Below are 25,250 nucleotides of genomic sequence, written 5' to 3' on the forward strand. Positions count from 1 at the left end.
GAGTAGATGAAGATATATACAATGTTCATGAATGAGAAAAACTCCTCGTAGTTCAAGAGCCCAGTCATGGGCCTGCAGAAACTTGTCTGCAGGTGTGTTATGTGGTCCATCACATCATGAGAGAGTAATGCCAGCTCTAGGGCTCAGACTAGGTCATTCTCAGAAAATCCTCATATTCAGCAAAGTGTTGGAGGCCATGGTGGTAAAATATGGGTATTACCTGCATTCTGCTTGGTAAGTACAAAGGGAAAGTGAAATTCTCTGATCAACATCTGTGTCTTAAGGCTGTATAATTTCTACCTCACTAAGTTTTTAAAAAGAATCAAAGTGCATTATTGTCCAGAAATAGCTATCATTTTTGCAGAACCTAAGACAAGGTTATGCCCTGTTAGATATCAAGACAGATATAATGATAATTCCATACCGTTTTAACTCTTTAGTGGTTAAAACGGTATGGAATTATCCAAGGAATAGACAGATCAACAGAAAACAATGAAGGGTTAGGAAACAAATCCACATAAATGATGAGATAGCATATAACACTTCTCTTGGCAGGCCATTCATTAATTTATTTCATAATCGATTTAACTATATTTACTAATATAGGCACAAATTATAAGGTATCAGGCATACTGTTTCTATTCTTGCTTTATCCCCAAATTATAGGGTTGGAATAATGAGTTCAGTTGAAAGAAATACACTGATTGCCACACTGCCTTATTTAATGTGATGTTCACTCTGATGTCAATAAAATATCTATCTTTTCTCTGTATCCTAATGTTTCCATTGGCTTGTTCTATTTATAAAAATTAAATTCAACTATTATTACATAGGATTCCTAAGAAAGAAAATAGAAGTTCATCTTGTAACACTACACTCCCATAAAATTGGCAAAACCCAAAAGTCTGACAATAGCAAATGTAGGTGATGATGTGAAGCAATGACAACCTTCATACAGTCCATGTGGTAGTAAAAATCAGGGCAATTGCTTTGACATTACCTAGTTACATTAAATTTGTGTATAACCCATGGTCCAGCAATACCACTCCTAAGTATGTAGTCTCTTGCATGGGTGCCACAGGAAATATGTATAAGAATGTCTATAGCAACATTATTTCCAAAATGTGGACACTATTTACATTCCTATCAAGATCAGAAGGGATAAATAAGTTGTGGGACAGCATATAATGGAATATCACACAGCTATGAAAATAAAGGAACCTCAGCTACATGCAACTACATGATATCAAGTGATAGAAGCCAGACACACAAAAATATATACAGTGTTATTTAATTTATATAAAATTCAAAATTAAGCATAACTACATTCTAGTGTTTAGAAATACATAAGTAGGTGATTACAGTATAAGAAAAGGTAAGGGGTGATAACCATAAAAGGCAAGAGGTAACCTTTGAGGGAAAAAGGGGGATTGGGAAGAGAAGGAACACCTGGAAGCTTCTGGGGTGTTGATAATTGGTTTCTTGATCTGGTTCATAATCACACAGATGACACTTATTAAATACATCTTTAGATTTTTATCACTTTTTCTACATATGTGTTATATTTCACAATTCTTTAAACAGTTAAAGAAGTAAAGCATTTTGGATATTTTTTCTTAGGGCGCTGAGGGCATGTGTCTCTGGACCACAATTTCTCTTTATGTGTGGTTGAGCTTCCCCTGAGACCCAGAATTCCCGGTAATTCAGGCTTACTGCACGTACCACTCTATGTTAGGAAATAAACGACTCATAGTCGTGAAATGCTTCACATTTCTCATGAAGCTGAGGTAGCCCAGCATTCTCTACTTTAGAAATCTGGATGTATTTTTTCCTCATGGGTCTGTAATTGAGTCCGTAATTGACATTTGTACACTTTTAAGATAAATCTAGCCTGTCTTCAAGTATATTTTAGATCTAGTGAAATACAGAGTACTATAGATTAGATATTCTGAATATCATCTGTTTGTTATTTAGTAATGTGATATGCCTTGTGTACCCACTTTTGTATTTACCATTATTGCAAAATCAATCAAATGTGAGCAAAAGCAAAGGCAATTTGAATGACTCAAAATTGAAATTTGAGCTGCCAAATCAAGCAGTAAAACAATTTTTACCAGCTCTATTGATTGTTAGAAAGATAAGTTATAAACTTTATTTCAAGTAAATTTCTAAAAGATCTGGGAATGTGATTATTCCAAGGCAGATGGCGAAGACCTTTATTTCCACTGATTATTCACAGATGCAAATTATTATGCAACTGGAAGCATACTAAGATATTGCAAAGATGTTCTGACATTAGTCATCTGCTGCCTTTGTTACTTTGGTGTCAATTTTCTTATTCTTTCCAAAGGAAGATCCTTACAGTTTGTATTCTTTCACAGCTGGGAAATGATCAGTTGAGAATTATTCAAACACACCAATCTGTTAACCGTACTTCTTCCCAGATAATGCAATATTTTGCAGGGTGACAGGCAAAAAGTGGTCATTTTTTACTTCATATATTTTAGGGTTATTTGGTTTTGATTAAATGAGTATTTTATTACTGAATTATTTAAATTTTATATAAAATACTTAATATTAAAATTCATATTTACTTCATATTTAAATTTTATATTAAAAAAACAAAATAAAAATAAAATTCAAGTCAGGTGCAGTGGTGCATGCCTGTAGTCCCAGGTACTTGGGAGACTGAGGTGGGAGGATCCCTTAAGCCCAGGATTCAAGTCCAGTCTGGGCAACATAGCAAGACTCTGTCTCTTTAAAAAAAATTAAATTCATCAGTATAGTGTGCTGTCCCCACCTCATTCCCTTCTTTGCATAGCTGGCTCCATTTTACTCTTCACACATGAGATTAACAGTCATTTCTCTTTCTCTGAAGTAGGTTCTTCTTGTTATTCTCTCATGGTACCTTATTCTTCTACATTGTAGCATTTATCACACTTTATAATTACATGTTTATTTGTTTATTTTATTGTCTGCCTCATTAGATTCAATTCTCCGTCAGGGTAGGTGCAGTGTCTTTTTTATTCACCAATCTATAGCCCATGTCTAGCATACTACTAGGCATGTAGTAGTCACTCAAATATTTGGAAAAAGAAAGAAGAAAGAAAGAAAGAGAGAAAGAGAGAGAGAGAAGAGAAGAGAAAAAAGAAAAGAAAAGAAAAAAAATTACCAGATTGAAGCTATCAGATGAAAACTATGATGTTGTAATTCCAGGTACAAACCCATCCTTGCATTGTTTTTGCAAGACACTTGCTGGTAAATACTAAATGGCGCTCAACACTGAAAGTTCAGCATGATGGAATCCATCTGGCTGTCGAACAAACCCACTGAGTTAAAGCAGGTTTCACCTTAGGTCAGAGATGCTTTTCTCATCTCCTAACTCCATCATCTCATATACTAACACTCACCCCCTCCTCCCTCCTCCTAAAGGCAATGTAATAAGATAAATAGGCATTTTACAGACACGTAATCTCATGATAACAGATCCCTGTTATTTACACCAGCAAAGCCATTTCCACTGTGTTGGGACTTGCCCGAGCCCACCAGGGTCGGGTGGGGTTCTGCCAGTCCGTGATCTGTAAAGGTGTAGGGTTCATAGTACTCTAAGAACAGCTGTCCATGTTTGCTGGGGATCAGATTACAGGATCTCATTAACTCACTCTTCTTGCCTGCTTCAAACCTTTCGTAAGGACCAAGACCTATTATTTCAACTTGCCTCATATCAAGAGGGTTAAAGACTGAGGGTTTTGTTTTACTTGTTTCTGTTAAGTATCATTTGAGTGTATGCTAAGGAAAAGCAATAACAATACCATTTATTGTAAATGTCACTATAAAATATAAAATTGTTTTATGTCTGTGAGCAACTAGTTCTTGTTTGAAACTTCCTAGTTATTTAGTGAAGAATGATACAGTTTAAATTTTGGTTAATTTGCAATAGGCCATTAAATATGGAGAAATTAATACAACTCCTAGGAAGTTTTGTTATTTTATGTTGCTTTATTTTTTAAGTTTGATTTGGTAACTCAAGTCAAATTAAAAAAAAAAACTTAAAAAGGAAAGTGGCTTGGCTGTTAAAGACATGAATGTTTACTTGGGGTTCACTCAGCACAGTGGGCTTAGGTCACAGAGTGGGTTAGCATTTCCATTTTTCAAAGAATGAATTTCAAGACCCTTCTCTAAGGGTCTGCTGTGGACAAGTGAAGGGTTATTGGAGAATATTCCAAGAATGACAGTGGGAAAACATGTGTCAAGGTCTTGTGAAGATAAAACATGGAAGGTTCTAGAAATTAGAAGAATGCAATGTGAGGAAGAATAAAGTACAGAGGGAAGAGTAAATGTGGAAGAGGGACAAAATAAGTAGAAGCCTGATTATGCATTGCTTTGCAGAATGTGTTAAGGATACTGCTCTTTAACCCAAAAGTAAAGGAAGAGCCTTGGAATGGCTTTAACTATGCATGCAAGTGGAAAGTCAGGAATGTGGTCAGATTTTTTTTTTGAAAAGACAGATAGATTGGATGTGGAGACTTGTAAAGGTGAGGTTGGATCAATGCTATTGCAGTGATCCCTGGTGAGAAATCATGGTATTTTGGATTAGAATGTTGGCTGTGTAGATAAAAGAGAATAAAATGGAAAGAATTTAGACATATTTAAGACATAAAAAATCTATACTAATTATTAATGAATTGGGCATGTAGTGCAAGGGAGGAGGAAAGGTCAAGAATGACTTTCATATATCTCTTCAGCAACTGAGTATATGGTAATAGCATTTACTGAGAGTGACCGCACTGGAGAAAACTACACATGAAAGAAAAGATTATGAATTCAGGCTTACACATATTTAGTTTGAGGTCCTTATAGCCAAGGCAAGGTGTTGCAGAATATGTAGGTTTAGAGTTGAGAGGGGATGTCTATCATCAACATTGATAATTCAGGTTATGGCCATGGATGAGATGGCCTGGCAAGAGAGTACAAAGTGAGAAGAGGGGGCCTGGAACGTAGCACTAACAAACTCTGACATTTAGTGATGGGAGGAGGAGAACTGACAGAGACTGAATAAGAGCAGCTAGAGAGGTAGAAGGAAAACATGAAGAATGGGAAATGAAAGGGAGAGGGAAACCAAGAGAAAAGAGTCTTTCAAGATGGAGGGAGTGATCAATGGAGAAGGGGCAGGGGTGAACACTCCGAACATCAAATAGACAAGAACTGGAAATTCTTTGCTGGATTTAGAAACATCATGGTCACATGTAACTCTAGAAAGAGCCATTTTGTTAGAGTGAAGGAATGAAGTCCAAAGTGAAATGGGTCTTTAGAGGAGTTAGTGAAATGTGAGGAAATGGAGAAAGTGAATAGAGAGTTTGATAAATTTTATTGTGAAGAGAAAAGAGAGGCTAATGGATGAAAGGGAAAAAACATTAAATGGTGCTTCTTTCTTTATTAAACAAGAGAGACTAAAGGATATTTAAATATTGATGAGAATGATGCAGCTGAGAGGGACAGATTGAATAAAGAGGAAAGAAAAGGGTTCAATGGCTAGATTGGTGAAAGAGTCTGCTGCTGGTATCATCCTGTGTTAATTGCAGGCTCAGACACCCCACATCACACCCCACAACACACACATGCACTCTTCTTCCTGGCTATCATAAGACATCATGGAAAAGCGTCCCTCTGCTGCCAAGAATTGCCCCCAAGTTAGGCCTTCTGAACCAGAAGCGCCCACTTTGGCCAAGCCTCTTTCTGATCCTTCAAACTTTAGTGGTCTCTTGCTCCCTGAAAGCAGTCCATTCCAGCCCTCCAAATTTGCTTCACATTTGCCCCAAGACCACAGCCACAACAAATGCCTAGCCATGGACCTTGGGTGCCTTACTCTAGATAAAATCCACAGGCTCTTCACTTGAACAGGATGGGAAGTGACAGAAATACATACTCACAAAAGACCAGTACTATTCAATAGCCAGAAATATTTTTGTCATAGGAAGGGCAGATGACCAATCTCTTACTCCATCTTAAAGAACTCCCAACTTCAAGGACAACCTGCAATTGTAAGCCAGACGTCTAATCTTGATATTTCATCCCACATCAGGGCCCTCCCTGTATTTGCTTCATGAGTTTTTCAATTAAGATTCTCTCTGGCTAGTTTTCCTTTAAATTCAATATGGCTGTCACCTCCTACAAAAATTGAGGTCCATCTGTTTTATGTTTCTTTCTGGGCCTTTTAACCTAACTTACTTCTTTGGAGAAAAATTTGAAAGCTGAAAGTAGTAGACAAAGATTTGTTTGCAGGAAACAAGCGGTCAGCACAGATGTATGGTATAATTTCTACCAAAAGTTTAATATTACTTTAATGTGTATTCAGGGGAAAAGCTATAAATATAATGTTCACTCTAAATGGGGTCATAAAACAATAGAGTATTTTCATAGTTTTTTAATGCAGACATTGGTTTGAGGTAGTTTTACACTCTATGATTTCTGATTCTCATGTGATTACTATTGGGGTTTCATAATAAAAGGAAGAAAGGAAGGAAGACAGGGTGGGCAGCTGGGAGAGAGGGAGAAAAAAAGAAGAAAAGAGAAAGAAAGAAAGAAGCAAAGTAAGAGAAAGAAGAAAGGAAGAAAGAGAGAAAAAGAAAAAGGAAAAGAAGGAAGAAAGGAAGAGAGAAAAAGAAAGAAAAAGGGAAGGAAGGGAGGGAGGGAAGGAGGGAGGGAGGGAGGGACATGGTTTGGCTGAGTCCCCACCCAAAATTTCATCTTGAGTTGTAATCCCCATAATCCGCACATGTCAAGGGCAGGACTAGGTGGAGGTAATTGGCTCATGGGGAAGGATTCCCCCATGCTGTCCTCGTGATAGTGAGTCTCACAAGATCTGATGATTTTATAAGTGTCTGGCATTTTCCCTGCTTGCACTCACTCCATCCTGCCACCCTGTGAAGAAGGTGCCTACTTCTCCTTTGCCTTCTGCCATGATTGTAAGTTTCCTGAGGCCTCCCCAGCAATGCAGAACTGTGGTCAATTAAACCTCTATCCTTTATAAATTACCCAGTCTCAGGCATTTCTTCATAGCAGTGTGAGAATGGACTAATACAGTAAGTTGGTACCAGGAGTGAGGTGCTGCGCTAAGGATACCCAAAAATGTGGAAATGACTTTGGAACTGGGTAACAGGCAGAAGTTGAAACAGTTTGGAGAGCTCAGAAGAAGACAGGAAAATGTGGAAAAGTTTGGAATGTCCTAGAGACTTGTTGAATGGCTTTGACCAAAATGCTGAGAGTGATATGGACAATGAAGTCTAGACTGAGGTGGTCTCAGATAGAGATGAGAAAACTGTTGGGAACTGGAGCAAAGATGACTCTTGCTATGTTTTAGCAAAGACACTAGTGGCATTTTGCCCCTGCTGTAGAGATCTGTGGAACTTTGAACTTGAGAGAGTTTATTTAGGGCATCTGATAAAAGAAATTTCTAAGCAGCAAAGCATTAAGAGGAAGCAGAGCATAAAAGTTTGGAAAATTTGCAGCCTGACAGTGTGACAGAAAAGAGAAACCTATTTTCTTGGGGAGAAATTCAAGCCTGTGCAGAAATTTGCATAAGTAACAAGGAAAAGAATGTTAATCACCAAGGCAATGGGAAAAATATCTCCGGGCCATGTCAGAGACCTTCATGGCAGCCCCTCCCATCACAGGCCTAGAGGTTTGGGAGGGAAAAATGATTTAGTGGGCCAGGTCCAGGGCCCCTCCACTATGTGCAGCCTCAGGACATGGTGCCCTGTGTCCCAGCTACTTCAGCTTTAGCTGTGGCTAAAAGGGGCCATGGTACAGCTCAAGCCATTGCTTCAGAGGGTGTAAGCCCCAAGCTTTTGTGACTTCCACATGGTATTCAGCCTGTGGGTTCACAGAAGTCAAGAATTGAGGTTTGGGAACCTCTGCCTAGATTTCAGAGGATGTATGGAAATGCCTGGATGTCCAGGCAGGAGTTTGCTGCAGGGGCATAGCCCTCATGGAGAACCTCTGCTAGGGCAGTGCAGTAAGGAAACATGGGGTTGGAGCCCCCACACAGAGTCCCCTCTGGGGCACTACCTAGTGGAGCTGTGAGAAGAGGGTCACCATCCTCTGGACCCCAGAATGGTAGATCCACCGATAGCTTGCACCATGTGCATGGAAAACCTGCAGACACTCAATGCCAGCCCATGAAAGCAGCTAGGAGGGGAGGTGCACCCTGCAAAGCCACAGGAGAGGAGCTTCCCAAGGCCATGGGAGTCTACCTCTTGCATCAGCGTGCCCTGGATGTGAGACATGGAGTCAAAGGAGATCATTTTGGAACTTTAAGGTTTAATGACTTCCCTCATGGATTTTGGACTTGCATGGGGCCTGTAGCCCCCTTTTTGGCCAATTTCTCCCATTTGGAATGGACGTATTTACCCAATACCTTTACCCACATTGTATCTAGGAAGTAACTAACTTGCTTTCGATTTTACAGGCTCATAGTCAGAAGGGACTTGCCTTGTCTCAGGTAGGACTTTGGACTTGGACTTTTGGGTTAATGGTGGAATGAGCTAAGACTTTGAGGGACTGTTGGAAAGGCATGATTGTGTTTTGAAATGTGAGAACATGAGATTTGGGAGGGGCAGGGGTGGAATGATATGGTCTGGCTGCATCCCTACCCAGAATCTCATCTTGAATTGGAATCCCCATAATCCCCATAATCCCCACATGTCAAGGGCAGGACTAGGTGAAGGCAATTGGATCATGGGGGCAGGTTCTTCCATGCTATCCTCTTGATAGTGAGTGAGTCTTACAAGATCTGATGGTTTTATAAGCAGCTGGCATTTCATCCACTTGCACTGACTCCATCCTGCCACCTTGTGAAGAAGGTGCCTGCTTCTCCTTTGCCTTCTGCCATGATTGAAAGTTTCCTGAGGCCTCCCCAGCAATGCAGAACTGTGAGTTGATTACCTCTTTCCTTTATAAATTACCCAGTCTTGGGCACTTCTTTACAGCAGCATGAGAATGGACTAATGCAGGAACGAAGGAAGGAGGGAAGGAAGGAAGGAAAGAAGGAAGGAGAAAAAAGAAAGAAAGAAGAGAGAAAGAAAGAAAGAAGAAAGGAAGGAAAGAAAGAAGAAAGAAAGAAAGAAAGAAAGAAAGAAAGAAAGAAAGAAAGAAAGAAAGAAAGAGAGAGAGAAATCCTGTTCTATGATTTCTGATTCTTATGTGATTGCTATTGGGGTTTCATAATGGAAGAATAGAAGGAAAGAAGGAAGGAAGGAGAGAGGAAGAAAGGAAAGAAAGAGAAAAAAAGAAAGAAAGGAAGGAAAGAAAGAAAGAAGGGAAGGAAGGAAGGAGAGAGGAAGAAAGAAAAGAAAGAAGAAAGAAAGAAAAGAAAGAAAGGAGAGAGGAAGAAAGGAAAGAAAGAGAAAAAAGAAAAAAGAAAGAAATGAAGGAAGGAAGGAGAGAGGAAGAAAGGAAAGAAAGAGAAAAAAGAAAGAAAAGAGAAAGAAGAAAGAAAGAGAGAAAAAGAAAGAAAGAAAGGAAGGAAGGAAGATCTTGTTTTAGTTTTTTTCCCTAAGTTAACAAGCACATGGGTATTTGGTTCAAAAGTCCAGAATCTCGTGATATTTCCTTTGGTTCCGTCTCTGCCCATCTCATGATAAGAGGTAGCACAATATAGTGATAAGATCCTGGGCTTTAAAGACAGATAGATATGAGCTCAAATACCAGTTCCATTGTTGGCCATCTATGAGATCCTGGGAAATTTTCAAACTCTTTGAGCCTCTGTTTATTCATCCATAAAATGCTTAATAATGTAGACCTTGCTGGGTCATTGTAAGGATTATATAGAATTATATTTGCAAAGTTAATTATGAGTTAATAATTGAAGCCATTGATGCAAAATGGACTGAGATCCAACACACATATGCTGGTCTATCTCCTTCATGAGAGAAAAATCTAACTGGAATTAGAGCCATCTGTTGGAGTTGGAGCCTTTCATACTAAATGGACTCATTCATACTCAAGTTGTGACTCTCATAATGAAGGGGAACAAGTGCTTCATAACCTGATAATGTCAGTGTTATTATTTCCCATGAAATATGCTTTCTCCATATGAGACTAGACTATGAGGTCTTCAGGGTGGGTCAGGAGGGGGTGTGTGTGATGAGCGTGTAATGAATGCTTGCTTTGATGAATACACTTGCTTCTTTAAGGGCCAGAGGAAATTGGCCACAAGGCTTGCTGATGGGGCAATGAATCAAGGCATTTTCTATCTCTTCAACTCATAAATCCAGAGCATGCTTTTCCCCTTTGGGGTCTGCAAAGCCTGAGAAGCTTGAGTTCATGACATCAGAAATAACACAGGGTAGAAAACCCCAGTGAGGAGCAGAGTCCTGAATGGTGAGTTTGGGTACTGGATTGGGAAGTCGGGGAGAGGGTCTAGAAGAAGGATCTATTAGATGACAAGAGAGGACATTGAGGAGAGTAAAAGAGATTTGGTAAAAAGGAATAATTCTTCCTTCTGAAGGTCTAAGTCTGTAAACTGCCTCCATGCCTTTCCATGGTGGAGGGAGAGAGAAAATCTCATGTTCCCAGGTCATGTTGCTCAGTGAGGCCCTCCTTTTCTAAAAGGAATATGTGCACCTTCTTTGAATTCTGGTATTTATGTTTGCTCAGGGGAAGACTTGCAAGGCAAGAGTGCTTGGGAAAGAAAAGCCTATGACTTCTCACCCTGTAGGGAGTTCTCTGGCCATCCTACTGAACACTCATCCTCACACATTCTTGGTCACCACAGGAGGACCATGAGCCAGCTGTGGCTGAGAGTACTCCACCAAGCAAGATGAAATTCGCAGATTTCTTTCCACAACTCCTTGGGAGAAAGAAAAAGATGGGGCACTAGTTCAAGGGTACCTAGCTTGAGAGTTGTTTTTTTTTTTTTTTTTTTTTTTGATGTGCCTTGTGAAACTTTCTACCAATAAAGCCTAACATTTCAACTATGCTGTTTGGCATGACCATCATCCCCTGCCAAATTTCACTACCCATTCCCAGCCTGTACAAGATTCATACTTTCTTCACCTATCATAAGCTAGTTATCTGATCTGCATTCAGTTCAACTAAATTCACTTCAGTTAAACACACACATACCTAATATACATCTACTTTCCCCCATCCTTCCACTGGGGAAGAGATTTGAGTATCAGTAATAATTCACTGTGTGTGTGTGTGTGTGTGTGTGTGTGTGTGTGTGTGTGTGTGTTTATCTTGGTATATACATCATCTTGGTAGAAACAGAGACCAGTAGCAGGGAGTAGACTGCATCAGTGGGTATTGAGAGAGAAATTATGTGGGAGGGAGAGAGGGAAGAGACTTTCGGGCAGTTGGCATGTTGATGTAGAGGCTTTGGAGTGATGAGTGGGTGAAAATGAATGTTAAGGTATTTTGCTTTGTGACGCATTGTTTAAACCTCATGCCTCTCATTTAAGAATGCTGTCAGAAGTCATCCATCAAACTCTTCTAAGCCTCCTAGAATTGTATTTGGATTTTTATTTGGTTGTGTTGATAGCAGAATTAGACTTCAACAGGGTTTTTCCATATCCAGGTTAAAGTCAGAACCCGGGATAGCTGAGTCAAGTCAAAGTAATTCAAGGCCAAAGAACGGAGGTCAAAATAACTCAGGACCATAGTCTAGAGAAGAGTGATTTAGTGGGTTGGTTCTGGGGGGTAGTGGTGGCACATGGAACTCTCAGATAGCCATGCCACATATGGGTTAGAAACCCTGACTATTAAATGAGGAAAAGTGTGGGGCCTGAGAACCCCCGTAGAGCTATGGCTTGCTATAAATTCCTCAAATTTTTAGCATCAATCCTGGATTTATTTTAACAATAATCTTCTGGGTCAGAGACTTCACCAGAACTGATTTTAAGGTATAATCATGAGTGAGCCCAGCATTTTCAGCTTTTCTGTTGACATCCCTTCTGGTGGCCTTTTTTAGATTCAGTATGTCCAGAACTGAACCCAGTCCCTTCACCCTGTCCCATTCCCTGTAGCTTTGTTGAGGTTACCAACCACCCAGGTAACCAGGAAAGAAACACTGATTCTTCCTCTCCCTCACTCTCTGTATCCAATGAGACAATCAATTCAGTTGTTTCTACTTCCTAAAGCTCATTATATATCATCCTTTCCTTTTGAACATATTGTCTTTATGTCAAATCCTCACCACTAGCTTCCAAACTAGTGTCCCAACTCCAATCCCTTTCATAATCTATTTCACCACCTACATTGTCAGCAGAATAATCTTTCTGAAATATTTTGATGGCCCTCCTTTGTCCACAGAATCCAGTCTAAACCCGTTAGCAAGTTTCATAATTTATTTTGTAGTCTGCCTTGACCTTCCCTTCTGGCCTCATGTCCTACTACCTTACCTCAGTGATCCTATGGGATAAGATTGTCCCTCATACTCCATGTTTTTTCACACCTCCAAGCTGTGACTTCTACCCAGAATATCCTTTGCTCATTTCGTGTACCTGCAAAGTTTGGCTCAAATATTACTTTCTCTGAATCCTTTATATCCTACTGTCTCTGTTTAGTGTAGAGTTCTTTTGGTATAATATATACTATCTATAACATATTTTTGGAAAAAATATATTGTGTGTAAAGTACACTAATCTGTCATGTATAGCTAAATGTAATTTTGCATAGGTTATTCTTTCTTTTGTCTTGCCCTATCGCACTGGTGGTACCTCCAGTAAGTGCTGGAGAGACCTGCTGATAGTGTACCTCTTTGTCTCATTCTTGACCTCAGAGGAAATGCATTCAATATTTCACATTAAGTGCAGGTTAGTATAGATTTTTTTTTAGTTTTTAGTCTACTAGATTAAGAAATCATCCTTCTATTCCTATATTGCTCTTTGCTTAGTTTTAAATTATCCTAATAACTTATCAGTTATCATGTAGGAATAAGCATATGGTGTTTCAATATAGTTTAAATTTAGTCACCCAAGAAATACTAAAGTATTTGTGGGAGATACTATTTTAGACACTAGATGTCAAAGAAAAATGACACGGTCCCTGTCCTATACCACTTTACATCCTACTAGTACATACAAACATGAAAGAACTATATTAATATGATGATAGAGTTATGTACAAAATACTATGGGATTATTGAGTAGGAAGAAACTGACTTTAATAAAGATAGATCAAGGAATGATTCAGAGATATAAAGTTATCTTCAAATATTAACTTAATTATTCTCTTTAAACTGGGCTTGTATCTATAGTTTAATATCCATTTTGGCAAATATGCATTTTTACTGCCTATTTTCAGGATTGCTCACTATAGCCTCCAGTCTAGTATGTGATGGAGTACCATGAAGGGGGTAGCTGGGCTGATTCTTCACAAAGAGAGCTTATTCAACATGTGACTGGTATAAAAGCTGCTCCCAACCATGCCTGCTAAGGTTTAGGGATAATATGTCAAGGAAGCCCTATCACTGTCATTGCTCTTATCCGAGCTTTAGCAAAAATTGCAAGGGAGTAACTAGGTAAACATTTACCTGTTTAGTATTTCTAAAGTAAATCCTGTAGATTATTATCATCAGAATCACCCGAAACTTTGGAGTTGGGCTTTAGATATAATTCACATGCCATACATTTCCCCACTTTAAAATGTGCAATCCAGTGGTTTTTCATATATTCACAATGTTGTGAAATCATCACCACTATCTAATCCTAGAACATTTCATCACCTCAAAAAGAAACTGTACTCATTAGCAGTCACTTCCCATTTCCCACCTCCCTCAGCACCTGAAAACCACTCATCTACTTTGTGTCTATGAAGTTGCCTATTCTAACCATCTCATATAAGTGAAATCATACAATATGTGATCCTTTGTAAAAGACAACATGTTTAAAAGCAAAATTAGTAACACTGTCAGGTGGAGTATATAACAGATATAAAAGTAAAAGGAGGCTAGGTGCAGTGGCTCATGCCTGTAATCCCAGCACTTTGGGAGGCCAAGGTGTTCAGATCACGAGGTCAGGAGATCAAGACCATCTTGGCCAACATGGTGAAACCCTGTCTCTACTAAAATACAAAAAATTAGCTAGGCATGGTGGCTCATGCCTGTAATCCCAGCTACTTGGGAGGCTGAGGGAGGGGAGTCACTTGAACCCAGGAGGCAGAGGTTGCAGTGAGCTGAGATTGCACTGTGTCTGGAATTGGTTCAATCTCCCCTCTAAACAGGACTCACCAACTGCTTTTGGGAATTGGACGATGACCGCTCTAGCTACTTCCTGCCAGAGAGGGGCAAAGAAGGGGCCCTGCAGTTGTAGTGTCCTCCAGAGGGGAACTCTTTAGACCAGTGAAAGGGCCAGTGGGTCGGTCCAGGGGTCCTCAGTAGAAGTTGTTAGTTGAGCTCATTTGGGGTTCCATTTGTAAGACCATCTGTAGCTTCATGGCCTTGATTCTAGAGGAAACAAATTTGACAAGGAGGTTAAAAATACAGAGCCCGAAGGCGAGTAATAGCAAGATGGCTGCCAAGAGACCTAGAAAGGGGAGAAGCCATGTTGCCCAACTCCAGAGGTTGGTATAAGAGTTTGAAAGGTGTTGTCTGATTTCAGAAGCCTTTTCCTGTAAATGCCAGGCGGCATCTCATACTATCCCTGACTGGTTAGTGTAAAAACAATACTCTTCTCCTAAGAAGGTGCAGAGTCCTCCTTTCTCAGCAGTGAGGGGGTCTAGGCCTCGGCAGTTTTGGAGAGTCACTGCTGCCAAAGGGTTTATTTGGGATTGTAGAGTAAGGATAGATTTCGTTATTTCATGCAAACTGTCTGAGAAATCCTTTGAGAGTGTGTGGTAGTAGGATAATGAAGGAGATAAATTGGCTATTCTGGTTCCTGTAGCAGTAGCCATTCCTAACCCTATAAGTAGGGGTATCAGTCATATGGCTCTGTGCTGATGGACTTGAGCTTTGAGGGGTACTGATAGGGTCTGATTTCCTGGGGCAATGTTAATGTTGGGACTTAGAAAGACTAAGGTGCAGGTGCCTGTCCAGTTAGTGGGGAGGCAGATATAGGTCGACGTTCCACATAAGAAGAATATACCTTGGCTGGGTAGACAGAACTGGTTGTGTATGTTAAAAAGGTGTGTGAGTTTGTTGTTTTCATTTTCCCATACTCCTAGAGTACTTGCCAAGGTAGCTCCAGTGAGCAGCTGGAAAGGGGTGTTGGGAGCAAACTGAGTGGCTCCCTGTGTTCTGTTTTCCCATTGGAGAAAAAAATCGTTTTGTATCTACCAGGAACCATTCCAGAGAGTGATTGAAATAGGGGATGAGAAGGCATTCACTAGTGGTGGGGGCGCTGCTGGAGGGAGTCCAGGGGTGAATGGTCATGCAGGGAGTATGTTTGCCATTACAAAACCTGGACTGTTTGTTAAGCAGGGAGGAGGCGATGATTTCTGGGTGCCCTGAGAAGCAGACAAGCCATCTGAATGGAGCTGTTTGGGTGACTCAGAAGTTACTATGATCAGCTGGGGCTTGAAGTTGTATGGTGTAATTACACTAATGGGTTAGTAGGTACCCCAGGGGCAGGCCTTATAACAGGTTGCATTGGATGCATAAAGGGGCTTGGAAAGTTAAGATGGTATTTGTAGTTACAGGGTCATGTATGGGCTTTTCATTGCTTGTGTAATAGGTGAGGTGGGAAATGTAAGAACGTAAAAGTTGGATTGCACATCCTGTTAGGGTATTCTTCGTCCTATCAGAGATGGGGAAGTGGGCTAATGATTGCATATTTAGAAATCAGAAAGCGTCTTTTCCTTCACAATGAGGGTGGTAAGTTAAGTTGGTAAAGACCCAGTTTTTTGCGGGAATGGGAGTGGCAACGTAAGCAGAAGTTGATAGAGAGATACAAAGCCAACAGTCATTTGCCAGGGAAGGACTGGACTGGTTTAACAGAGAGTGGGTTAAGTTGAGATTATTGTAGAGGTAGTTAGGAGCTAGTGGAAGGGGAGGGGTGATTGTATGAGGTATCCAAGGAAGCAGGAGGGATAGATAGGCAAAGAGCAAATAGGAAGATAAAGAGGGTGCTCTGGAAGATGAGATCATCTTATCCAGTCCAAGTTAAAGGTAGGAGTAAATTGCTGTCAGAAGGGAGGAAGAGAGAAAGAAGGTTGATGTGATTAGGATTTTCATCCCAGCAGGAGCTACAGTATATAGTCTTATCACAAAGAGTATGGTTAGTATGCTGCTTAACAATATGATGAAATAGTAAAAGGATTCCATTAAAGGGGCAAGGAGAGGTGTTAAAGATTATGTAGGTTTTCACTTATCTTTTTTAAGAAGGAAGGGGTTTTTCTTCAGGATTGGTGGTAGGAGCCTTTTTAGTCTGGGATGTTTCCTTTTGAAATAGGAAGATGCAAGTCCTCCAATGGTTCACAGGTATATCGAGGCTGGTCTGGCTGATCTTGGGACTCCTGAGCTGACAGTCCCACAGGTTCATCAAGGGGTGTCCAAAATTTAACTCAGATATGGTGAATCCAAGATTCCACTCCTGCCACCTTAACTGCAGTGGGGGTAGAGAGGATTACTGAGTATGGTTCTTCCCACAGAGTCCATAGATGGGGAGGTAGAGGGGAGAGATTTGACCAACACTAGATCTCCTGGTTGAAACAACTCTGCTCCGTTTTCTCTGTGACATCCTTCAGGTAGGTTTTTAAGGTTTTGTTGATATTTTGCCAAAGAAGTTATATCTTTGACCAAGTTGGCCATTTCCTGATCAAGTAGGAGGTCATTTGTGAGAAAAAGGTTGTCCATACAGCATTTCATATGGACTGAGCCCCATTTTGTGAGGAGAATTTCAGATTCTCAACAAGGCCATGGGCAAAAGAGTAGGCCATAGGAGACGAGTTTCTTGTGTTAGTTTCTTTAAGTGCCTCTTGAGTGTTTCATGTGCCTTCTTGACCTTCCCTGAGGATTGCGGCCTCCAGGCACAGTGAAGGTGATATTGTATTCCTAGTGCCCTGAAAATTCCCTGAGTTATCATGGCTTTAAAAGCTGGATATTGTCACTCTGTAAGCTTTGGGGAAGCCCAAATCTAGGAATTATTTCATGAATTAGGACTTTAATCACTTCATGAGACTACTCTGTCTTGCAGGGGAAAGTTTCTATCCAAGGTGTCAACACAGACCAACAAGTATTGAAATCCCTTTGACTTAGGCATATGGGTGAATTCTAACTGCCAGTCCCCTCCAGGATAGTGACCTATTCTTTGTTCCCCGGGCGCCTTACAATGGACCAAGGGATTATTCTTTTGGCACACCTCACAGGCTTTGATTACCCGTCGGATGGTCCGGAGGAGATTTGGCCCTGTAAATAGGGATTTGGCTATTTGATGAGTGTTTTCAATACCCATATGAAAAGTTTGGTGGAGGGTTTTAAGTATTTTCCACTGGCTGGCTTCAGGTATAAGTATCTTTCCTTCCTCTGTTGTTAACCACCCCGAGGGGAGAAAAGTATGCCCCCGTGAAAGTCCCCATTCTGTTTCAGTCGGGAAATACTGGGGCTTAATCTCTTGGAGGGGGTTGTTCCATATCAACGGTCTTTCCATAGTTATTTCTAATGGGAGGTTCTGCCTGGCAGGAATTTTGGCCTCAGCATCTGCCCGACGGTTTCCTCCTTCATCTTTCTGATGGCTTTGGCAGTGTAAGACTGCCATCTCCTTGGGTTTTTGCACTGTGTGCAATAACTCCATAATTTCCTTGTGGTATTTAATGGGGGTTCCCCCAGAGGTTAGGAACTCCCTTTCTTTCCATATTGCAGCATGGGCATGTAGGATTAGATAAGCATACTTGCTATTTGTATACACATTTATTCTTTTTCCCCTTCCCAGTTCTAAGGCTCAGGTAAGTGCCACTAGTTCTGCTAACTGGGCGCTCGTCCCTGGGGGAAGAGGCTTACTTTCAAGTACAGTTACATCACTAACTATGGCATAACCTGTCCTTTGTATCCCATTCTCCACAAATGAACTTCCATCAGTATATAGGTTAAGGTCAGGATTAGCTAAGGGGACTTCTAAGAGATCATCTCAGGCAGCATAAGTCTGGACTATAATTTGTTGGCAGTCATGCTTGATTGGTTCTCCATCCTCTGGGAGAAAAATGGCAGGGTTGAGGGCCATGCACGTACATATTTGAAGCACCGGTCCCTCAAGAAGTAGTGCCTGGTATCTAAGTAGGCAGTTGTCTGATAGCCATAAACTTCCTTTGGCACCTAGTATGGCATTTACATCATGAGTAGTCCAGACAGTGAGATCCCTTCCTTGTATTATTTTGATAGCCTCTGACACTAAGACAGCCACCACCACAACTACCCTTAAACAGTGGGGCCAGCCTTTTGCTACTACATCAATTTCCTTACTTAGGTATGCTACTGGTTGTGGGGTTGTCCCACAAGTCTGAGTAAGGACTCCGAGAGCTATCCCTGCTCTCTCTCTGACGTATAAAGAAAAGTTTTGTCCTGTGGGAAGGCTTAAAGCTGGAGCTTGTACTAGGGCCTGCTTTAAGGTTTTGAAGGCTGTTTCTGCCCCTGGTTCTCATTCTACTAGATGAGTATTTGCCCTCTGGATCTCCTTGATTAGAGTATAGCATGGTCTGGCCATCTTGCTGTATCTGGGGATCCATAGTTGGCAAAAGCCGGTGATTCCAAGGAACCCCCATAACTGTTTTAATGTCTTAGGGAGAGGATAAGCCAGTATAGGCTATATTCATTCCTTGCTGAGGGCTCTGGTTCCTCTGGCTAAGATTAGGCCTAGATATTTGACCTACTGTAGGCAAAGCTGGGCCTTCGACCTAGACGCCTTGTAACCTTGATTGGCTAGAAAGTTCAAGAAATCTAGAGTAGCCTGCTGGCATGAGGCTTCTGAACTGGTAGCCAAAAGTAAATCATCCACATACTGAAGGGCCAGGATGTCTGGACTTGAGAAGTGACCTAGATCTTGGGCCAGTGCCTGATCAAACAGATGAGGGCTATCCCTAAACCCTTGGGGCAAGACTGTCCACGTAAGTTGGGATGTGTGGTCTGTGGGATCATCAAAGGCAAAGAGAAACTGGGAGTCAGAGTGCAGGGGAATACAGAAGAAGGCATCCTTGAGGTACAGAACAGTGAACCATTCTGCTTCCTCTGGTATTTGAGAGAGCAAGGTATAGGGGTTGGGTACAACTAGATATAGAGGAATTACTGTCTCATTGATGAGTCTAAGATCTTGCACTATTCTCCACTGACGTTTTGGTTTTTGTACCCTAGAATTGTGGTGTTGCAGGGACTGCTGCATTTCCTTACTAAGCCTTGAGCTTTTAAATGTTTAACAATATCCTGTAATCCTTTATGAGCTCCAGGCCTTAAGGGATATTGCCTTTGATAAGGAAAAGTGGTGGGGTCTTTTAGCCTGGTTTGGACTGGGTGGGCATTTTTTGCCCTTCCAAATTGTCCTTCCAATGTCCAGACTTCAGGGTTGATTCCCTCCTCAAGTAGGGGACAACAAATGGGTAACTTGTTCCCCATATTCATGTAGATAATAGCTCCAGCTCTGGCTAATATATCCCTCCTTGATAAGGTTGTGGGACTTTCAGGCATAACAAGAAAGGCATGTGAAAAAAGCAGTCTCCCAATTACAACTGAGGAGGTGGGAGAAATACCTGGTTACAGGCTGTTCCAGGATTCCTTGGATGGTAATGGACCTTGAGGACAGTCGTCTGGGACAGGAGATTAACACTGAGAAGGCCATGCCAGTGTCCAGCAGGAAGTCAATTTCCTGGCCCTCAATGGTTAAACATACCTGGGGCTCAGTGAGGGTGATGACATGAGCTGGCACTTGCCCTGGGCACCCTCAGTCCTGTTGTTGGATCATCTGGTTGGGGGCTTCTGGCCCAGAGAACCATTGCACTCTGGGGCAGTGTGCCTTCCAATGATTGCCTCAGCATAGCGGATATGGACGAGGGGGCAGCTTGTTTCTCATTGGACAACCTTTTTTAAAGTGTCCTTGTAAGCCACACTGATAACAAGCCCTACTGGGTGATTGACCTGCTCCATTTTCTGTCCTCTTTGAACCACCAAGGTTTGTTTGTCTGAGGGCCATAACTAAGGCTTTTCTCTGATCTCGCTTTTCCTTTTGGGCATGTTCCTCTTGGTCCCTATTATAGAACACCAAGGTTGCCAGGTTTAATAATGCCTCCAGATTTTGTTCAGGGCCCAGGGCTCACTTTTGGAGCTTTCTCCTGATATCTGCAGCTAATTGGGCAATAAACCTATTTTTTAGAATCAACTGACTCTCGAGTGACTCAGGTGACAGGGGAGTATATTTTCTTAAGGCCTCCCATAGCCGCTCAAGGAAGGCAGAAGGATTTTCTTCCTTTCCCTGAGTTATGGTAGATATCATTGAATAATTCATGGGCTTTTTCCTAATTCTCCTTAGTCCTTCTAGAACACAGGTCAACAGATGTTTACAACTGCAGTCCCCATGATCCGAATCGAGGTCCCAGTGGGGATCCATACTGGGGATGGCTGGCTGACCAGTAGGGAATTTGTCTCTTTATTTGGCTGTCATTCTATCATTTACTTGTCTAAGATACCAGGTATCTCCAAACTCTCGGGCTGCAGCTAAAGCCACATTCTTTTCATTAAAGGCCAGTGTTTGATCGAACAATAGCATGACATCTCTCCAAGTGAGATCGAAGGTTTGCTCTAGACCCTGTAGACATCTATGTACCTATCAGGATCATCTGAAAACTTACCCAGGTCTGCCTTGATCTGCTTTAAATCAGAGAGGGAGAAAGGGACATGTGCCCAGGTTGGGCCAAATTACCCTCCCCCTACAGCTTGAAGGGGACATAACAAATAGCCCGGGGGGTTTTGTGGTCCTTTGAATATTTATTTGCTTATTTCCTTCTGGGTGAGGGAGATTAGAGGAGGCTTATCATTAATAGGAAGGGGAGCTATAGGGAGGCTAGGATATGGGGGTAAGCTGAGAGTTCCTCCTGTGGGATATAAATTGCAAACTTTGCATAGTGATGTATTCTCCTTCAATGAAAAGAAAGCTTGAACATAAGGTATTTCACTCCATTTGCCTTCCCTCTTACAGAAAACGTCAAACTGCAGGATAGTATTGTAATTTATACTTCCCTCAGGTGGCCATTTTTCCCCATCAGAGAGAGAATATTGGAGCCAGGCCATGGTGCAGAAAAAAATGAGCTGCCTCTTTTTCAGGGTTTGTGGGTCAAATTGGTCCCAATGGCTTAGGATGCATTTCAAGGGTGAGCCTGTTGATGACTGAGTGTTTCCCATCTGAAAGACAAAACCGCCCATGGTTTTGGTTTGTTTGTTTCTCACCCTGCCCAAGAACCTGCAACGGTCCCTGGACCCTGCTGATCAGAATGGTTGCACTCACTGATGCAGCAGCAGAAACACCTCTTGCCCAAGAACCTGCAATGGTCTCTGGACCCTGCTGATCAGAATAGTTGCGCTCACCAATGCAGCAGCAGAAACACTAGTTTTCCTCCTAGACCACGAGGGAGGACCAAGGAATGTCAGATTTAGTGGCCCTTACCGATGCATTCTCGAAAACCTGCACCTTTGCCTGTCCTCCTAGACCACAAAGAGGACTGAGAAAAATCGGATTTAGTGGACCTTACCAACACATTCTCAAAAACTTGCACTCTTACCTGTCCTCCTAGACCACAAAGAGGACCAAGAAAAATCGCATTTAGTGGCCCTTACTGATGCATTCTCAAAAACCTGCTAGAGTCCTAAGCATTCTCCTGTTAGTAATGGGACTTTACTCATGTCCCATAAAGATGTTGTGCCCCAAAAATGAAGTGAAGGGCCATACCCTGAGGGAGGGAAGGGATCTCCAGAGTTGGAAGAGTGATGCTTTTTGTCCTCACTTATATGAATAGGAAGGAAACAATTTCTGAGGCTCCCCATATCCTAGCTTCAGGAATAGCTTTTGTTAGGCCTGCTTGTCTGAGGAGGGATCATAAAATTCCAGATAGTGCCCCCTACAATGGGGCTTTGGGCAAAAATTATGTCTTTCTAATTGGTGAGCCCGGGTGCCTAAAGAAGGGAATAGAGTCCTGAAGTTTATACTAGAAATCATTCTTATAGAAGAAACTAGAAAAGCACCAGAGACAGGGAGTGGTTTTTAGAAACGAGACTAGCCTCGGAGAAGAGAGGCAAGAGGAAGTTTGTCTGACAGGCATTAGGACCCAGGAGGAAAGGGTCAGGATAGACAGGATAGACGGTCAAGTCTCGCTTGGGCAACGTGACTTTGAGAGTTCCGCTTATGGCTGCAGGGTCAACCAATTTGTTGTTGGGACCCTGGAGCTGAATGGCTTTCCTGTCTGTCGATCCTTGGCTCAGCCCAGAAGTACAGGAAAAGCGGAAGCTGGTTCCAGACAAACCAACGCTCTCAACTCTGAAGAGTCAGGAGTTGTTAGAGAGCCTTTTCTCAGAAAGCCTGACACCCGTGTCTTTAGTCTGGCATCCATGCTAGTCACTTTTAACTGGCCAATAGGTGCCTGGTATTTAGTCCCCAAATTCTAAGGAAAAATAAGACAGAATAGCAAGCAAAAGGGGTCTGATGGTACTCACCACTTGGTGATAGGCGACAGTCCCATCTGGGTCACCAAAATATGTCTGGAATTGGTTCCTTCCAGTGGGTTCTTGGTCTCACTGACTTCAAGAATGAAGCCGCGGACCCTCGCAGTGAGTGTTACAGTTCTTTTGTTTGTTTGTTTGTTTGTTTGAGACAGAGTCTCGCTCTTTTGCCTAGGCCAGAGTGCAGCGGCGCAGTCTCAGCTCACTGCAAGCTCCAACTCCCGGGTTCACGCCATTCTCCTGCCTCAGCCTCCCGAGTAGCTGGGACTACAGGCACCCACCATCATGCCCGGCTAATTTTTTGTATTTTCTTTTTGTAGTAGAGACGGGGTTTCACCGTGTTAACCAGGATGGTCTTGATCTCCTGACCTCATGATCTGCCTGCCTTGGCCTCCCAAAGTGCTGGGATTACAGGCGTGAGCCACCGTGCCCGGCCGTTACAGTTCTTAAAGATGGTGTGTCCAGAGTTTGTTCCTTCAGATGTTCAGATGTGTCCAGAGTTTCTTCCTTCCAGTGGGTTCGTGGTCTCGCTTGACTCCAGGAGTGAAGCCGCAGAACTTTGCAGTGAGTGTTACAGTTCATAAAGGTAGTGCAGACCCAAAGAGTGAGCAGCAGCAATATTTATTGTGAAGAGTGAAAGAACAAACCTTCCACAGCATGGAAGGGAACCCGAGTGGGTTGCTGCTGCTGGCTCGGGTGGCCAGCTTTTATTCCCTTATTTGGCCCTACCCATGTCCTGCTGATTGGTCCATTCTACAGAGTGCTGATTGGTCTGTTTTTACAGAGTGCTGATTGGGGCGTTTACAACCCTTTAGCTAGACACAGAGCTCTGATTGGTGCGTTTTTACAGAGTGCTGATTGGTGCATTTACAAACCTTTAGCTAGACACAGAGTGTGGATTGGTGTGTTTACAATCCTTTAGCTAGACAGAAAATTTCTCCAAGTCCCCACCCGACCCAGAAGCCCAGCCAGCTTCACCTCTCAGCACCACTGCACTCCAGCCTGGCAACAGAGCAAGACTTCATCTCAAAAAAAAAAAAAAAAGAAAAAAAGAAAAAAAGTAAAAGGAATAACAATAATACCATAAGTATTTAGAATTTGGAGGGGAGGGTGATAAGCAGAATATGATCCCACAAGGATGTCCACATTCTAATCTCTGGGACCTGTGAATATGTTACATTTCATGACAAAGGGGAATTCAGGTTGCAGATGGAAGACTGTGAATCAGCTGACTTTGAAAGAGGAAGGTTATCCTGGATGGGCTCAATCTAATCATATGAGCTCTTATAAGTGAAAGAGTAAAGCAGAAGAATGGGTCAGAAATGTGTTGTGAAAAGAACTTAACTCACCAGTGGTTGCTGGCTTTTAATATGAATGAAGGTGGCTACAAGCCAAGAAATGTAGTGGCCTCTAGAAACTAAGAATGATCCTCGGTTTACAGCCAGCAAGAAAATGAAAGTCTTGATCCCAAAATCTCAAGTAACTGAATTCTGCCAACAACCTGAATGAGAAGGAAATGAATTCTCCCCTGGAGTCTCCAGAAAGGAACACAGTGCTGCCAACACTTTGTTTTTAACCTAGTGAGATCTATGTCAGAATTCTGGCTTACAGAACTGTAAGATAATACATTTGTATTGTTTTAGCCTCTAAATTTATGGTAAATTATTATGACAGCAATAGAAAACTAACACAGCAGGTACATGGAGTTATGTACTGTTACAACAGTAACAGTATGTTACTTGTAATATTATTTTACAATATTATAACTTGTGAAGTAAGAAGTAGAAAGTTTCAGATGTGAACTAGGAAGTATAAAATGTTCTATTATTGACTATAAATGTGCTTTTATAAGTTAAGAATATACTTTGTTAGTCCTAGAGCAACTATGTAAAAACAGAATAATAAAAAGATGTTTAGCCAAGACACAAATAGAAGATGGGGCACTAAAAATATTTGATTAACCCAAAAGAAGGCAAGAAATGAACCATGGAAGACTAAAAAAAACCCAAGAGACAAATGGAAAACCAACAACAAAAGGGTAGACTTAAACCCAACCACATAAAAATTACATTAAATGTAAATGGACTGAACCATTCAATTAAAAGGAAGAGATTATTGGGCTGGATAAAAACAGAAAGACCAAACAAGATGCAGCCTATAAGAAATGCATACAGCTATATAAAAATTTTAAAGTAAAACAATGGTAAAAATGTGTATTATGCAAATAGTCATCATAAGGAAATTCATATGAAATAGTAATTTAAGACTTTAAGAGAAAAGATATTAGGGTATTATAAAAGATAAAGAAGGGCATTTTATAATGATATGACTTCCCATGCCCCTAAATATTCTTCCACTGAATGAGAGCTTCAAAATTTATAAAACAAAAACAGACAGAATCAAGGGAGAGAAATAAGCACATTTGCAACCATAATTAGAGATTTTAACACAAATCTCTTGGTAATTGAAGAGACAAGTAGGCAAAAAAATTAAGACATGAAAGACCTGAACAAACTATTAAGCAAATTTACCTAATTAACTTTTATAGAACACTATATCCAATAACTGAAAAAATATATTAATTTCTAGTGCACATGAAATATTCACCAAGATATACTGGGCC

General features: G+C 41.4%; 1 long non-coding RNA gene across 10 annotated transcripts in view, besides 1 other annotated feature; it reads left to right on the plus strand.

Moving 5' to 3' along the window:
* Positions 1 to 25,250, plus strand: part of LINC02932 (long intergenic non-protein coding RNA 2932) — a 204,101-nt gene that overhangs the window by 121,974 nt on the left and 56,877 nt on the right. For 8 of the 10 annotated variants that reach the window (NR_183372.1, NR_183368.1, NR_183370.1 and 5 more), the window contains exon 1: positions 22,295 to 22,735. The exons of the other annotated variants lie outside the window; for them this stretch is intronic. This is a non-coding gene — a long non-coding RNA (long intergenic non-protein coding RNA 2932). Of the gene's footprint in view, positions 1 to 22,294; positions 22,736 to 25,250 lie in introns of those variants that run through there. 10 annotated transcript variants of the gene reach the window in all.
* Positions 22,159 to 23,358: an enhancer, noted in NCBI's record as "BRD4-independent group 4 enhancer chr7:91084772-91085971 (GRCh37/hg19 assembly coordinates)". NCBI's record gives its function as "activates an origin of replication core promoter dependent on BRD2, P300/CBP, MED14 and CDK7 cofactors, and independent of BRD4, by STARR-seq in HCT116 cells {active_cell/tissue: HCT116}" and the evidence as "EXISTENCE:reporter gene assay evidence [ECO:0000049][PMID:35650434]".

This window comes from Homo sapiens, chromosome 7 (assembly GCF_000001405.40).
Source record: "Homo sapiens chromosome 7, GRCh38.p14 Primary Assembly".
In the NCBI taxonomy this organism is placed as follows: Eukaryota; Metazoa; Chordata; class Mammalia; order Primates; family Hominidae; genus Homo; species Homo sapiens.